The sequence below is a fragment of the Homo sapiens genome, chromosome 8 (assembly GCF_000001405.40).
Source record: "Homo sapiens chromosome 8, GRCh38.p14 Primary Assembly".
In the NCBI taxonomy this organism is placed as follows: domain Eukaryota; kingdom Metazoa; phylum Chordata; class Mammalia; order Primates; family Hominidae; genus Homo; species Homo sapiens.
The window spans coordinates 87,220,967-87,237,438 of record NC_000008.11 but is presented as its reverse complement, the minus strand read 5'-3'; the positions used below and the strand labels follow the sequence as shown (position 1 = coordinate 87,237,438).

The window sequence follows — 16,472 nt, the reverse complement described above, 5'->3', positions numbered from 1 at the left end:
TCTCTCCCTCCTCAAATCACCTATTCCCTCTCACTTATCTGAAACTACTATTATCCTTCTTTCAGGGATCCAGCCACATCAACCTTGTCTGTTACCAAATACACCACACAAACCCTGCCAGTGGTCAGATGCTGTTGAAGGCATCCTTTATCAAAAATGTTTAATCAAATGTAAGTATTAATAATATCATTTATATTTTAAAGGCTATATTATCGTAAATATTTCAGGACTCTAAAGATATTGGATCTTAATGTCTGGAAGAGATAAAGTTTTACAAAAGCCCGTTACCTTGTTGCTTGTGGAAAAAGCAAATACTCATCTCTTACCATTGAGTCATATGAAGGTAGGTACATCTCAGCAAGTGTAGAGTTTTTGAATTCTTCACTCCAAATGAAGCTGTGGAAACTCTGAGATATGAACGAGTCTGGTGAATCACTTCCTTCAATCAGATTTTTATACACGTTTGTTTGAGGTCGAGCTAGGCCTTTCAGTATTACATAAAATCCATCATTTGCAACCACTGAAAAAAACAAAGCCAAAAAATATATACTGTGTGCTCAGGCTCCTTGATATAGATATGACTAATATATATATTACACTTACGGTACTTTCAACGTATTTCTTTCAGTGTATTCTGTAACAGTGAATTTAATGTAATAGGCATTTTCAAATAGTTTACTCAAGTAACAAGAATAACAAAGGCATGTTTATACATTTGGAGTATTCTTTTCAGACAATTACATATAGTAGCTATCCTCTCACAGAACTGATGGGTTCTAGTGGAAGAAAACATGGTTACATATAATTATTAATAGATTTGAGACATTGTGAGAAAAATGGGACCAGAAAAGCCCTTGAATGTTTTTTAATGTTTATGAGCCTCCCATACACAAAATGCCATTTTTCCTATTTTATATAAATAACAATATATACCTACCCTTAATTTTCATTTATCTTTGCTCTGGACATGATGACAATCACTTATAGAACTTAATAATGGAGACAGTTTGGAGAGGGTGGCTGATTATTACTAGAAAGAAGAGTTTTTCCCATATCTGTCCTACTCTTACATAAATCTCTAAAAACTGTCATCCAACCCCAATTCCTAAAGTTAAACTGTGTGCCTGTACATCTGAAAGACATACTCATTTGTGAATATTTCTAATGCAACTTAAATTAATTCCAGTTCTTCTGAAGCCTTTGAAGAATAAGGGGGTAAGAGTGGGATGGTGTCTTTCTCCATTTCTTATTTACATTACTTCATAAGATTGAAGCAAATTACTCAAGTGCTGTCAGGAGATATTTTCTTACACTTTGCTTATGAACTTGAAAGAATTAGAAACTTTACAAATTGCATTTTCAGGGCCAATCATTTTTTTTAATGTCCTAAAAGTCATCAAATGCTTGCCATGTCTGCTTTTTTTCTGAGTGCTTATTAGTGTGACTTTCTTAGTCACAATTCATACACAGTGACCATGGGGGAGTGATTTTCATGCTTCTTTAAAGTAAAGGTTGTTCTTGCTTGGATGTCTGAGCTTAAACTAGACCTCCTTCTAGGCAACACAATACAAGCATATCTTGTTTTACTGTGCTTTGCTTTTCAGTGCTTCACAGATATGGCATTTTTTATACATCAAAGATTCGTGCAACTTTGCATCTAGCAAGTCTATCAGCACCATTTTTCCAACAGCATGTGCTCACTTTGTGTTTCTGTGTCACATTTTGGTAATTCTCACAATATTTCAAACTTTTTCATTATTATTATATCTGTTGTGATCTGTGATCAGTGATCATTGATGTTACCATTGATGTAATTGTTTTGGGCACCGCAAACTATGCACATATAAGATAATGAACTTAATTGGTAAATGTTGTGTGTGTTTGGACTGCCCTATTCAATGGCTGTTTCCCCATCTCTCTCCCTGTCCTCAGGCCTTTCTACTCCCTGAAACACAACAATGTTAAAATTAGGCCAATTAATAGCTCTAAAATATCCTCTAAGTGTTCAAGTCAAAGGAAGAGTCATGTGTCTCTTACTTTGAATCAACAGCTAGAAATGATTAACCTGAGTAAGGAAGGCTCGTTGAAAGATGAAATATGCTGAATACTACGCCTTTTACACCAAATAGTAAGCCAAGTTGTGAATGCAAAGGAACAGTTCTTGTAGAAATTTAAAAGTGCTATTCCAGTGAACACACTAAGTAAGCAAAACAGCCTCATTGCTATACTGAGAAAGTTTTACTGGTCTGGATAGATGAAACCAGCCACAACATTCTCTTAAATGAAACCTAATCCAGAACAAGGCCCTATTTCTGTTCAATTTCATGAAAGTTAAGAGAGGGTGAGGAAGCTCCAGATGAAAAGCTGAGAGCTAGCAGAGTTTGGTTCATGAGGTTTAAAGATAGAAGACATATCTATAACATAAAGTGCAAGGTGAAACAGCAAGTGCTGATATAGAAGTTGCATCAAGTTATCCAGAACACTAGCTGAGGTCATTGATAAAGGTGGTTACACTAAACAGATTTTCAATGTAGATGAAACAGCATTCTATTGTAAGAAGATGCCATCTAGTACTTTTATAGCTAAAAGAGAGAAGAAGTCAATTCCTGGTTTCAAAGTTTCAAAGGAGAGGTTGATGATGACATACAGCTCGTGATGGTGACATGCAGGTCAGCTGACTGTGACATGCAGCTGGTGACATTAAGTTGAAGCCACTACTCCTTTACCATCCCAAAAATTCTAGGGCCCTGAACAATTATGCTAAATCTACTCTGCCTGTGCTCTATAAATGGAACAACCAAGCCTAGATGACAACATATCTTTTTATAGCATTCTATAATGAATATTTGAAGCCCACTGTTGAGATCAACTACTCAGAAAAAAGACTCCTTTCAAAATACTACTGCTCATTGACAATGCATCTGGTCACCCAAGAACTCTGACGGAATTGTGTAAGTAAATGAATATTGTTTTCCTGCCTGCTAACACAACATTCATTCTGCAACCTATCAATCAAGAGGTAATTTCAACTTTTAAGTTTTATTATTTAAGAAATACATTTCATAAGTCTATAGCTACCATAGACATAATTATTCTGATGGAGCTGGGCAAAGTAAACTGGACATTCTGGAAAAGATTCATTATTCTAGATGCCATTAAGAACATTTGTGATTCATGAGAGGAGGTCAAAATATCAACACTAACAGGAGTTTGGAAAAGTTGATTCCAACCCTCAAGGATGACTTTGAGGGGTTCAAGGCTTTGGTGGAGGAGGAAACTGCAGATGTGGTGGAAAGAGCAAGATAACTAGAATTAAAAGTAGAGCTTACTTACAGATGTGACTGAATTGCTGCAATCACATGGTAAAACTTAAACCAAATAAGGAGTTGCTTCTTATGGATGAACAAAGAAAGTGGTTTCTTTAGATGAAATCTACTTCTAATGAGTAGGTTGTGAACACTGAATTTTAAAAAAGATTTTGAATGTAACATAAACTTAGTTGATAAAGCAGTTGGCAGGGTTTGAGAGAACTTACTCAAATTTTGAAATGTTTTGTGGGTAAAATGCTATCAAACAGCATTACATGCTACAGATAAGTCTTTTGTAAAAGGAAGAGTCAATTGATGCAGAAAACTTCATTGCCATCTTCTTAAGAAATTGCCACAGCCAAACTGGGCATGGTGTTGTGTGCCTGAAGTCCCAGCTACTTGGGAGACTGAGGTGGGAGAATCACTTGAGCCCCGGAGTTCAAGTTCAGCCTTGGCAAAAACAACAAGACTATCTCTAAAAGGAGAGAGAGAGAGAGAATTTGCTGCAACCACCCATATCTTCAGCACCCTCCAGCCTGAATAGCCAGCAGCCATCAACATTGAGGCAAGACCCTCCACTAGAAAAAGATTAGGATTCACTGAAGGTTCACGTAGTCATTAGTATTTTTTAGCAATTAAGTATTTTAAATTAAGGTATATATATTTTTAAACATAATGCAATCACTGCTTAATAGACTACACGATAATGCAAACATAAGTTTTATATGCACTGGGAAACCAAAAAATCTGTGTGACTCACATTATCGTGATATTCATTTTGTTGCAGTGCTCTGAAACTAAACCTGAAATTTCTCTGAGGAGTGCCTGTATAATAAATGGATCAAATGCTAGTCTAGAAGGCAGGAGAAGGACTGATTTTTAGTCCCAGTGTTACATTCATTGTGTAATTATGGGAGAATCATATACTCCTAGGATCAACGTCCAGATCAAAGATTGTCATGCTAAGTTATCTACATGTATTTTAAACGTATTATTTTGTCAATTATTCATTGAATATAATAATTTTATGTTGTTGTAGTTACTATTAAAGGGTTTAAATGAATTTTAAAACTAATATACATAACCAAATTTTACCAATGCAAACATTATCTTAAAAGTTTTGGCCAATTTAAATTAGTGAAATTTTAAACATGTAGATGAAAAAGACTGTATCTAATAATAATAATTAAATTAGTTAACAATAATGTTAAAAACCTCATATTACATACTATTACTTCGGAAAAACTGTGTTTAATTTAAAAAGCATAAATATTCAAATATCTCACATGACTCTTCTCTTTTAGTTTCTTCATCATAGTTCAGATTATTTCTTTCATCATCCAACACATTTCCCTGAAACCATTATCTTTACTCAAGTTGGTTTGGGATACAGTATATTTGCATTTTAATGTAAAGAAGTCCCTGAAATTATATCGCAAGCTACAAGTACTGTAATCATTTACACAACATTGACAAGTATTTATATAACGTTTTTTAGCTAAATTTATTTTTTAATTTTGTAAAATGCTGAATTTATTGCTAAAAATGCTTTTACAAAATTAAACTTACTGAAAAGGCACAAGAAAAAATAAGAATCACCCATACTTATACAAATCAGAATTTTTGAATAAGCGCATTTATTTGGAAACAGAAGAGGGAGACTGCAATAGCCAAAAGTTTAAAAACTGAAAGAATCAAATATTGGCATAGATGTGAAACATCTAGAATTCTCACACATTGTTACTGGGAGTATAAATTATACAATTACTCTGTAAAAATATCTGGCAGTTTTTTATAAAATGAAACATACATCTAACGTATGTCCCAGTAATTCATTCTTAGGTATTTGCTCAGGAGGAATGAAAGTAGATGTCCAAAAAGGACTTGTACAAGGATGTTACTAGCAGCTTTATCATAATAGCTGAACTCTATAAAAATCTCAGGTGTCCCTCTGGAAGAAAATGTGTAAAGAAGCTCTTGTATGTCCATGCAATGGAATACTACTCAGCTATGAAAAGGAATGAACTATTGATTCATACAACATGGATAAATCTCAGAAGCATTATGTTGATTGGAATAAAGTTTTCACAAAAGGGTACATGCTGTCTGACTTCATTACAAAGTTTTAAATGATTCATGTGAATTCAATTCATAGTGAGAATTTAAAAAAAGAAATAGAGAGCCATTGCCCCTATGGGACAGACAACAGACTGACTGGGAAGAAATATAAAGAGAACTTTTAGGGTGATAGTAAAGTTCTGTATCTTGCTAAGGATCTGGGATACAGTATTTGTCTAAACTCATCAAGTGATACATTTAAGGTATACATATGCACATCACTGTATATAAATTTTGCCTTAAAAAATAAAGTGTCAGAAACAAATATTGAATCCTAGATACACTCTGAAGTGTTTAGGGGTGAAATATCCTGATGCTATGATATGTCAATTAAATGGAAGCTTATGCAAATATAGTGGAGAAAAAAACTAGAGAAAAAAATCTGTTCACAAGATGACAGCAAATATTGTTTGACTTTCTTTGTTTTGAACATTTTATTATATGAGAGACACTATTCTAAACATATTATAACCCTATGAGTCAGGCACTGTGATTGCTTCAACTTTACAACTGAGGAAACTGAAAGCAGGGAAAAATTAAACATCCTTCCCAAGCTTGATGAGCTAGTAGTGGTAGAGCCAGTATTTGAAGACACCCAGTGGCAGTTCCACATGACTATACTAGTCTTTGTAATTTGACATAGAATTCTTTCTTCCCCTCCCCTCTCTGTCTCATTCTTGAAATATATTGCTTAGAGATAGTGTTTCAATTATGATAAAATAAGACTACAGTGTGTTATTTAGCATGTGACATTTTCAGTTAAAAAATACATTACAAAGTAATATATGTTCACTTAAAAAGTTTAAAATAAAAGTAAATATATGTCTGCCTATGAATACATGTTTATGATATAAACATTATAATACAAAAACAAGTCTAGAAAGAGATTTGGTAGTATTAGTTACTTGTTCATAAGAGAATGACTTATGTGGCACCTCCCCTACTCTCTCTTCCTTCAGCTCTCAGCCATATGAAATGCTGGCTCCCATTTCGCCGTCTGCCATGAATGTAAGTTTCCTGAGACTTTAAAAACAAGTCTCTTTTTAAATACTTATAAAGAAAGACATTGTTAATTATTGAGCAAAATAATAGTTCTTGATTAGAACTCTAAGTATACCTTTCACTAGATATTCTCCATAAAATAGAAGTTAATGTTTTCAGATCTTAATGACAAGTGGGTTGATTGGCTATTCCTAAATAAATGACTCCTTAAGAAGCAACCTCTTAATCTAGATTTCTTAAATCTAGAAACAGCTATTCCTGTTATTCATATATACCAAACATGCCATGAAGAGTAAATATCATGTACCAAGCATTAAATATTTGTCATGCACTGTGCTAGGTGTTCTAACACTAATTATTCCAATAACCCAGAAAACCATACATTGTTACTGCATATTGCAGATGAAGAAACCAAGGCTCAGAATGATAAAATAACTTGTCAAAAGTTACAAAGTACATTAATTTCTGGAAGTTTTCAAATGTGTTCTAACATCTGAAGGACACACACACACATACAAACATACATACATATGAGTGCTCTGTGTGTGTGCTGTACGTGCATATTTAAGTAGTGATGTGTATGTATAAAATGTATATATAGATAAATATATACCTACAAATGTATGTTAGTTTTATAGATTTTATAAACAACCTCAATGGGAATTAAAATAATTCTTACCATTCGATATGGTTTGGATCTGTGTCGCTGCCCAAATCTCCTGTCGAATTGTAATCCCCAGTGTTGGAGATGTGGCCTCCGTGGGAGGTGATTGGATCATGGGTGTGAATCATTCATGAATGGTTTAGCACCATCCTCTCGATGCTGTTCTAGTGATAGATTTTTCATGAAATCCCATTGTTTAAAACTATGTGGCACCTCCCTCTTCTCTCTGTTCCTCCTGCTCTCAGCTATATAAAGTCTTGGCTCCCATTTTGCCTTCTGCCATGATTGTTAGTTTCCTGAGGCCTCCCCAGAAGTTAAGCAGATGCCAGCATCATGGCTCCTATACAGACTGTGGTACCATGAGGCAATTAAAACTCTTTTCTTTATAAATTACCCAGTCTCAGGTATTCCTTTACAGCAGCGTGAAAACGGACTAATACATTATTTGTAAGAGAGTTCAGAAATTGACCCTCAATTATTTCCTTAAATTAACATAGTTGGCATATTCATAAATCTATCAAAATTATTTGAGAAGAAATTTGAAAATAAAAGTTTTTTTTTAATTTCAGACATATATGCAGAGTGAGACGAAATTTTGGTTGACTTCTGTATAGATGTACTAGGGGAGAATAAAAAAGGAAAATGATCCTTATTCAAACAAAAAATTTAACATTGTAAATGGAGTTAAAATGAAGAGTTCAGAGAAAAGTATAAAATTTGGCTGAAACTGAATTTACAAAAGCTTCTCAAAATAGAATTCAAAGAGTATTTGACATAATCCCAAAATTTATAGACAAATTATTAAAATACTATAAAATTGTCTAAAAAAGATTACTATCTAATTAAGGTGTCAAAGAACAATTAAAATATTACTAACAGAGCACAAAGTGGTGTTAAATGTATGAATTGTGAGAAAAGAGACATTTGTTAATAATGCAAGCTAAATATAAGCATTTGAAATTTTTAACCTGTGAGAAGAAACAAATAGCATGGATTCCTCATTCAAATATTCAAAATACATAAAACGATTTCATGTATTTAAAAAAAAAACCAGCATTTAAGAAAAATCGGGGGGAGGAGCCAAGATGGCCGAATAGGAACAGCTGCGGTCTACAGCTCCCAGCCTGAGCGATGCAGAAGACGGGTGATTTCTGCATTTCCATCTGAGGTACCGGGTTCATCTCACTAGGGAGTGCCAGACAGCGGGCGCAGGTCAGTGGGTGCGCGCACCATGTGCGAGCCAAAGCAGGGCGAGGCATTGCCTCACTGAGGAAGCACAAGGGGTCAGGGAGTTCCCTTTCCTAATCAAAGAAAGGGGTGAGGGACCGCACCTGGAAAATCGGGAAAATCGGGTCACTCCCACCCGAATACCGCGCTTTTCCGACGGGCTTAAAAAACGGCGCACCATGAGATTATATCCCCCACCTGGCTCGGAGGGTCCTACCCCACAGAGTCTCGCTGATTGCTAGCATAGCAGTCTGAGATCAAACTGCAAGGCAGCAGCGAGGCTGGAGGAGGGGCGCCCGCCATTGCCCAGGCTTGATTAGGTAAACAACACAGCCTGGAAGCTCGAACTGGGTGGAGCCCACCACAGCTCAAGGAGGCCTGCCTGCCTCTGTAGGCTCCACCTCTGGGGGCAGGGCACAGACAAACAAAAAGACAGCAGTAACTTCTGCAGACTTAAATGTCCCTGTCTGACAGCTTTGAAGAGAGCAGTGGTTCTCCCAGCACGCAGCTGGAGATCTGAGAACGGGCGGACTGCCTCCTCAAGTGGGTCCCTGACCCCTGACCCCCGAGCAGCCTAACTGGGAGGCACCCCCCAGCAGGGGCACACTGACACCTCACACCGCAGGGTACTCCAACAGACCTGCAGCTGAGGGTCCTGTGTGTTAGAAGGAAAACTAACAAACAGAAAGGACATCCACACCAAAAACCCATCTGTACATCACCATCATCAAAGACCAAAAGTAGATAAAACCACAAAGATGGGGAAAAAACAGAACAGAAAAACTGGAAACTCTAAAAATCAGAGTGCCTCTCCTCCTCCAAAGGAATGCAGCTCATCACCAGCAACGGAACAAAGCTGGACGGAGAAGGACTTTGACGAGCTGAGAGAAGAAGGCTTCAGACGATCAAATTACTCTGAGCTATGGGAGGACATTCAAACCAAAGGCAAAGAAGTAGAAAACTTTGAAAAAAATTTAGAAGAATGTATAACTAGAATAACCAATACAGAGAAGTGCTTAAAGGAGCTGATGGAGCTGAAAACCAAGGCTCGAGAACTACGGGAAGAATGCAGAAGCCTCAGGAGCCGATGCGATCAACTGGAAGAAAGGGTATCAGTGATGGAAAATGAAATGAATGAAATGAAGCGAGAAGGGAAGTTTAGAGAAAAAAGAATAAAAAGAAATGAGCAAAGCCTCCAAGAAATATGGGACTATGTGAAAAGACCAAATCTACGTCTGACTGGTGTACCTGAAAGTGATGGGGAGAATGGAACCAAGTTAGAAAACACTCTGCAGGATATTATCCAGGAGAATTTCCCCAATCTAGCAAGGCAGGCCAATGTTCAGATTCAGGAAATACAGAGAACGCCACAAAGATACTCCTCGAGAAGAGCAACTCCAAGACACATCATTGTCAGATTCACCAAAGTTGAAATGAAGGAAAAAATGTTAAGGGCAGCCAGAGAGAAAGGTCGGGTTACCCTCAAAGGGAAGCCCATCAGACTAACAGCGGATCTCTCGGCAGAAACCCTACAAGCCAGAAGAGAGTGGGGGCCAATATTCAACATTCTTAAAGAAAAGAATTTTCAACCCAGAATTTCATATCCAGCCAAACTAAGCTTCATAAGTGAAGGAGAAATAAAATACTTTACAGACAAGCAAATGCTGAAAGATTTTGTCACCACCAGGCCTGCCCTAAAAGAGCTCCTGAAGGAAGCGCTAAACATGGAAAGGAACAACCGGTACCAGCCACTGCAAAATCATGCCAAAATGTAAAGACCATCGAGACTAGGAAGAAACTGCATCAACTAACGAGCAAAATCACCAGCTAACATCATAATGACAGGATCAAATTCACACATAACACTATTAACTTTAAATGTAAATGGACTAAATGCTCCAATTAAAAGACACAGACTGGCAAATTGGATAAAGAGTCAAGACCCATCACTGTGCTGTATTCAGGAAACCCATCTCATGTGCAGAGACACACATGGGCTCAAAATAAAAGGATGGAGGAAGATCTACCAAGCCAATGGAAAACAAAAAAAGGCAGGGGTTGCAATCCTAGTCTCTGATAAAACAGACTTCAAACCAACAAAGATCAAAAGAGACAAAGAAGGCCATTACATAATGGTAAAGGGATCAATTCAACAAGAAGAGCTAACTATCCTAAATATATATGCACCCAATAGAGGAGCACCCAGATTCATAAAGCAAGTTCTGAGTGACCTACAAAGAGACTCAGATTCCCACACATTAATAATGGGAGACTTTAACACCCCACTGTCAACATTAGACAGATCAACGAGACAGAAAGTCAACAAGGATACCCAGGAATTGAACTCAGCTCTGCACCAAGCGGACCTAATAGACATCTACAGAACTCTCCACCCAAATCAACAGAATATACATTTTTTTCAGCACCACACCACACCTATTCCAAAATTGACCACATAGTTGGAAGTAAAGCTCTCCTCAGAAAATGCAAAAGAACAGAAATTACAACAAACTATCTCTCAGACCACAGTGCAATCAAACTAGAACTCAGGATTAAGAATCTCACTCAAAACTGCTCAACTACATGGAAACTGAACAACCTGCTCCTGAATGACTACTGGGTACATAACGAAATGAAGGCAGAAATAAAGATGTTCTTTGAAACCAACGAGAACAAAGACACAACATACCAGAATCTCTGGGACGCATTCAAAGCAGTGTGTAGAGGGAAATTTATAGCACTAAATGCTCACAAGAGAAAGCAGGAAAGATCCAAAATTGACACCCTAACATCACAATTAAAAGAACTAGAAAAGCACGAGCAAACACATTCAAAAGCTAGCAGAAGGCAAGAAATAACTAAAATCAGAGCAGAACTGAAGGAAATAGAGACACAAAAAGCCCTTCAAAAAATTAATGAATCCAGGAGCTGGTTTTTTGAAAGGATCAACAAAATTGATAGACCACTAGCAAGACTAATAAAGAAAAAAAGAGAGAAGAATCAAACAGATGCAATAAAAAATGGTAAAGGGGATATCACCACCGATCCCACAGAAATACAAACTACCATCAGAGAATACTACAAACACCTCTACGCAAATAAACTAGAAAATCTAGAAGAAATGGATACATTCCTTGACACATACACTCTCCCAAGACTAAACCAGGAAGAAGTTGAATCTCTGAATAGACCAATAACAGGAGCTGAAATTGTGGCAATAATCAATAGCTTACCAACCAAAAAGAGTCCTGGACCAGATGGATTCACAGCTGAATTCTACCAGAGGTACAAGGAGGAACTGGTACCATTCCTTCTGAAACTATTCCAATCAATAGAAAAAGAGGGAATCCTCCCTAACTCATTTTATGAGGCCAGCATCATTCTGATACCAAAGCCGAGCAGAGACACAACCAAAAAAGAGAATTTTAGATCAATATCCTTGATGAACATTGATGCAAAAATCCTCAATAACATACTGGCAAACCGAATCCAGCAGCACCTCAAAAAGCTTATCCACCATGATCAAGTGGGCTTCATCCCTGGGATACAAGGCTGGTTCAATATACGCAAATCAATAAATGTAATCCAGCATATAAACAGAACCAAAGACAAAAACCACATGATTATCTCAATAGATGCAGAAAAGGCCTTTGACAAAATTCAACAACCCTTCATGCTAAAAACTCTCAATAAATTAGGTATTGATGGGACATATTTCAAAATAATAAGAGCTATGACAAACCCACAGCCAATATCATACTGAATGGGCAAAAACTGGAAGCATTCCCTTTGAAAACTGGCACAAGACAGGGATGCCCTCTCTCACCACTCCTATTCAACATAGTGTTGGAAGTTCTGGCCAGGGCAATTAGGCAGGAGAAGGAAATAAAGGGTATTCAATTAGGAAAAGAGGAAGTCAAATTGTCCCTGTTTGCAGATGACATGATTGTATATCTAGAAAACCCCATTGTCTCAGCCCAAAATCTCCTTAAGCTGATAAGCAACTTCAGCAAAGTCTCAGGATACAAAATCAATGTGCAAAAATCACAAGCATTCCTATACACCAACAACAGACAAACAGAGAGCCAAATCACGAGTGAACTCCCATTCACAATTGCTTCAAAGAGAATAAAATACCCAGGAATCCAACTTACAAGGGATGTGAAGGACCTCTTCAAGGAGAATTACAAACCACTGCTCAATGAAATAATAGAGGATACAAACAAATGGAAGAACATTCCATGCTCATGGGTAGGAAGAATCAATATCATGAAAATGGCCATACTGCCCAAGGTAATTTACAGATTCAATGCCATCCCCATCAAGCTACCAATGACTTTCTTCACAGAATTGGAAAAAACTACTTTAAAGTTCATATGGAACCAAAAAAGAGCCCGCATCGCCAAGTCAATCCTGAGCCAAAAGAACAAAGCTGGAGGCATCACACTACCTGACTTCAAACTATACTACAAGGCTACAGTAACCAAAACAGCATGGTACTGGTACCTAAACAGAGATATAGATCAATGGAACAGAACAGAGCCCTCAGAAATAACACCGCACATCTACAACTATCTGATCTTTGACAAACCTGAGAAAAACAAGCAATGGGGAAAGGATTCCCTATTTAATAAATGGTGCTGGGAAAACTGGCTAGCCATATGTAGAAAGCTGAAACTGGATCCCTTCCTTACGCCTTATACAAAAATCAATTCAAGATGGATTAAAGACTTAAACATTAGACCTAAAACCATAAAAACCCTAGAAGAAAACCTAGGCATTACCATTCAGGACATAGGCATGGGCAAGGACTTCATGTCTAAAACACCAAAAGCAATGGCAACAAAAGACAAAATTGACAAATGGGATCTAATTAAACTAAAGAGCTTCTGCACAGCAAAAGAAACTACCATCAGAGTGAACAGGCAACCTACAAAATGGGAGAAAATTTTCGCAACCTACCCATCTGACAAAGGGGTAATATCCAGAATCTACAATGAACTCAAACAAATTTACAAGAAAAAAACAAACAACCCCATCAAAAAGTGGGTGAAGGACATGAACAGACACTTCTCAAAAGAAGACATTTATGCAGCCAAAAAACACATGAAAAAATGCTCACCGTCACTGGCCATCAGAGAAATGCAAATCAAAACCACAATGAGATACCATCTCACACCAGTTAGAATGGCGATCATTAAAAAGTCAGGAAGCAACAGGTGCTGGAGAGAATGTGGAGAAATAGGAACACTTTTACACTGTTGGTGGGACTGTAAACTAGTTCAACCATTGTGGAAGTCAGTGTGGCGATTCCTCAGGGATCTAGAACTGGAAATACCATTTGACCCAGCCATCCCATTACTGGGTATATACCCAAAGGACTATGAATCATGCTGCTATAAAGACACATGCACACGTATGTTTATTGCGGCATTATTCACAATAGCAAAGACTTGGAACCAACCCAAATGTCCAACAATGATAGACTGGATTAAGAAAATGTGGCACATATACACCATGGAACACTATGTAGCCATAAAAAAGGATGAGTTCATGTCCTTTGTAGGGACATGGATGACATTGGAAACCATCATTCTCAGTAAACTATCGCAAGAACAAAAAACCAAACACTGCATATTCTCACTCATAGGTGGGAATTGAACAATGAGATCACATGGACACAGGAAGGGGAACACCACACTCTGGGAACTGTTGTGGGGTCGGGGGAGGGGCGAGGGATAGCATTGGGAGATATACCTAATGCTAGATGATGAGTTAGTGGGTGCAGCACACCAGCATGGCACATGTATACGTATGTAACTAACCTGCACAATGTGCACATGTACCCTAAAACTTAAATAATAAAAAATAAATAAATAAATAAATAAAAATTAAAAAAAAAAACTTCAGCCAAAAAGCAAAAAGGTGGGGAGGTAAAGGGAGGATAGATTAAATACGTATGGCAAACTTGATGGCTATTGAAACTGGTTGATGGGGTCACAGGGGTTTTTATGTAAGTCTGGAAATTTTTATAATAAAAGTGGTTTGTTGAAAAAAAAAAAAAAGAAAAATCAGACAATAAGGAAACAATACTGATTTCCAGCCCATTAAATAATGATTCCCAGACTTTGCAAAAGTAATTTATCAAAATCAAGTTGGTTAGGAATAAGTTTCATAAAAGTATTTATATACCTAGTTTCTATTACATGAAAAATCAAAGAACCATTCTCATGAGGACTTGTGAAACCCCTAATGCAGGACCCCATATTTGAAAATAGCTCTTAACTATACTTCTATTAATGAACAGAAGGCATTAAAAAGAATTAAAAATACTAGTTAGAGAAAGTTTAATTAATCATTTTGATAGTGACTTTTTGAAAGGTTAACGGCCAATTACAAAGTCTGATTAAAGCAAACATGATTGTGAATCTTGCTAAACATTTCCCACTCTCTGGTACAAAGACCTTCAGCTAAAATCAGCCATTCTAGAAGGACTTAAAAGTTTCAAGGAACTATAATTGGATGAATAAGGTCATATTGTCAGTGGTGAATCCCTCCTTGCCCTATAAAATTGAGTTTAACTGTTATCTATCTACCAGGGAAGCCTTTTCTGACCTCAGCCCTGCCCCCATCCAACCTAATTAACAGGCCTCCTCTGGGATCTTTCTTCACAGAATTTTTGCCATGGCACTCTTTGTTTTCAGTCTCTGCCAGTAGACTGTAACCTCTTGAGAGAAGAAACTGACTGCTCTCTGTATCTCCAGCTCATATCACACAGCCTAGATAATTTTAGGCATTTAGCAAAAACACTCGTCGAATAAATGAAAGCTTAATTAATGATCCCCTACAGTATTTCTCTCCAAAGAATTTTATAAAATATTTGAAGATCAACTCTTTTTTTTTCCTTAGAATTCTGTCTATTGAGGAATAAGATAAAACTCTATGATGGTCAATTTTCTTCTCAGGCCCTTAGATGGAAGCCTAGGAAAAATATAAGAAAGTTATATAAATTTTAAGCCAGATGGATTAATTTATGGAATCTCTTTATAAGGTCTAAATGATTGCAGAGATAAGATAACAAAGCAATAAAATGGCCTTTTCATAGCTTTTATTATATTAAAGAATCTTTGGAAATGGGATTATTTTGCATAGGTCCAATTTTTCCTCTTCTAAGGTACCAGGAGTAGTTATTTTAAGACACAAGTCTAATAACCTCGCTTAGAATAATGCAATAACTTGTAGAAGACAGCAGGCAAATAAAACTGGATATTTATTTTGAGATTAAAAAAGCAAATACGTAAATATTACACAGCTAACTGGACGGGATGTAAAGAAATTTATTTCATTTTATTTTGAGCTCAGAGCGTCTATTGAAATAGCCTTCAAATATTGATACTCTCTGTTCCAAAATAAAAATAAATACTCTTCTGGTATTGTGAAAATTACAAAGTATATAATTATAAGAGGCAATACAAGGCAAACATCCTTAAATGAGTACATAAAATGATATGAAGGTCTGGAGAAGAAATAAATTGTGTCTGGTGGGAAATATATGGAATGACTTTATGAAAAAGAAGCATTTATGATGGATCTTGAAATGTAGATACAATTTTGATTGACAGATATGGAAGGAAAAATATTTGTATAGTAGGAAATCAAATGAACAAGACCAGAAGCAGGTAACATGGAGTACTTGATGGACTTCAATCAAGCTAGGAAGGTTGATAAAGAACAGTGAATTACCCAGTTTGTCAGAAGCACAGTACAGGAAAAAGTATTTTAAAGAATTCACTTAAAAGCAGGTTAGGACACACTTAGGAGAGCACTGGAAATTGGAATTATGTTTTAAATAACCAATTACACAATGTTCAATTAGAATAAAAACAGTGCTAATTTTTAAAATGAAGTATGACTGGTTTAAGATGGCTGACTAGAAGCATCTCATAGACAACTTATCCACTTATAAGAACCAAAATAATGTATGAGAAAACCATACCTCAAATACATTATCCAAGAGAGAACACTGGAGTTTAACAGAAAAGTGACAAGAAACACCAAAAATAAGGATGGAGAAAGAAAAGGGGCAGCCTGCTTGGCCAGGACAGCCACAGTCAGGAGTGACTCTCAAATATGGGGAGAGGGTGATTTTTCAA

The 16,472-nt window shown here is 36.7% G+C and overlaps 1 protein-coding gene across 4 annotated transcripts in view; it reads right to left on the bottom strand.

The window, feature by feature from the left end:
- CNBD1 (cyclic nucleotide binding domain containing 1) overlaps window positions 1–16,472 on the bottom strand; it is a 562,238-nt gene that overhangs the window by 191,214 nt on the left and 354,552 nt on the right. For all 4 annotated transcript variants that reach the window (NM_173538.3, XM_047421411.1, XM_024447082.2 and 1 more), the window contains one exon: window positions 327–520. In NM_173538.3, coding sequence (NP_775809.1) covers window positions 327–520 — 194 coding nt within the window. The remainder of the gene's footprint in view (window positions 1–326; window positions 521–16,472) is intronic.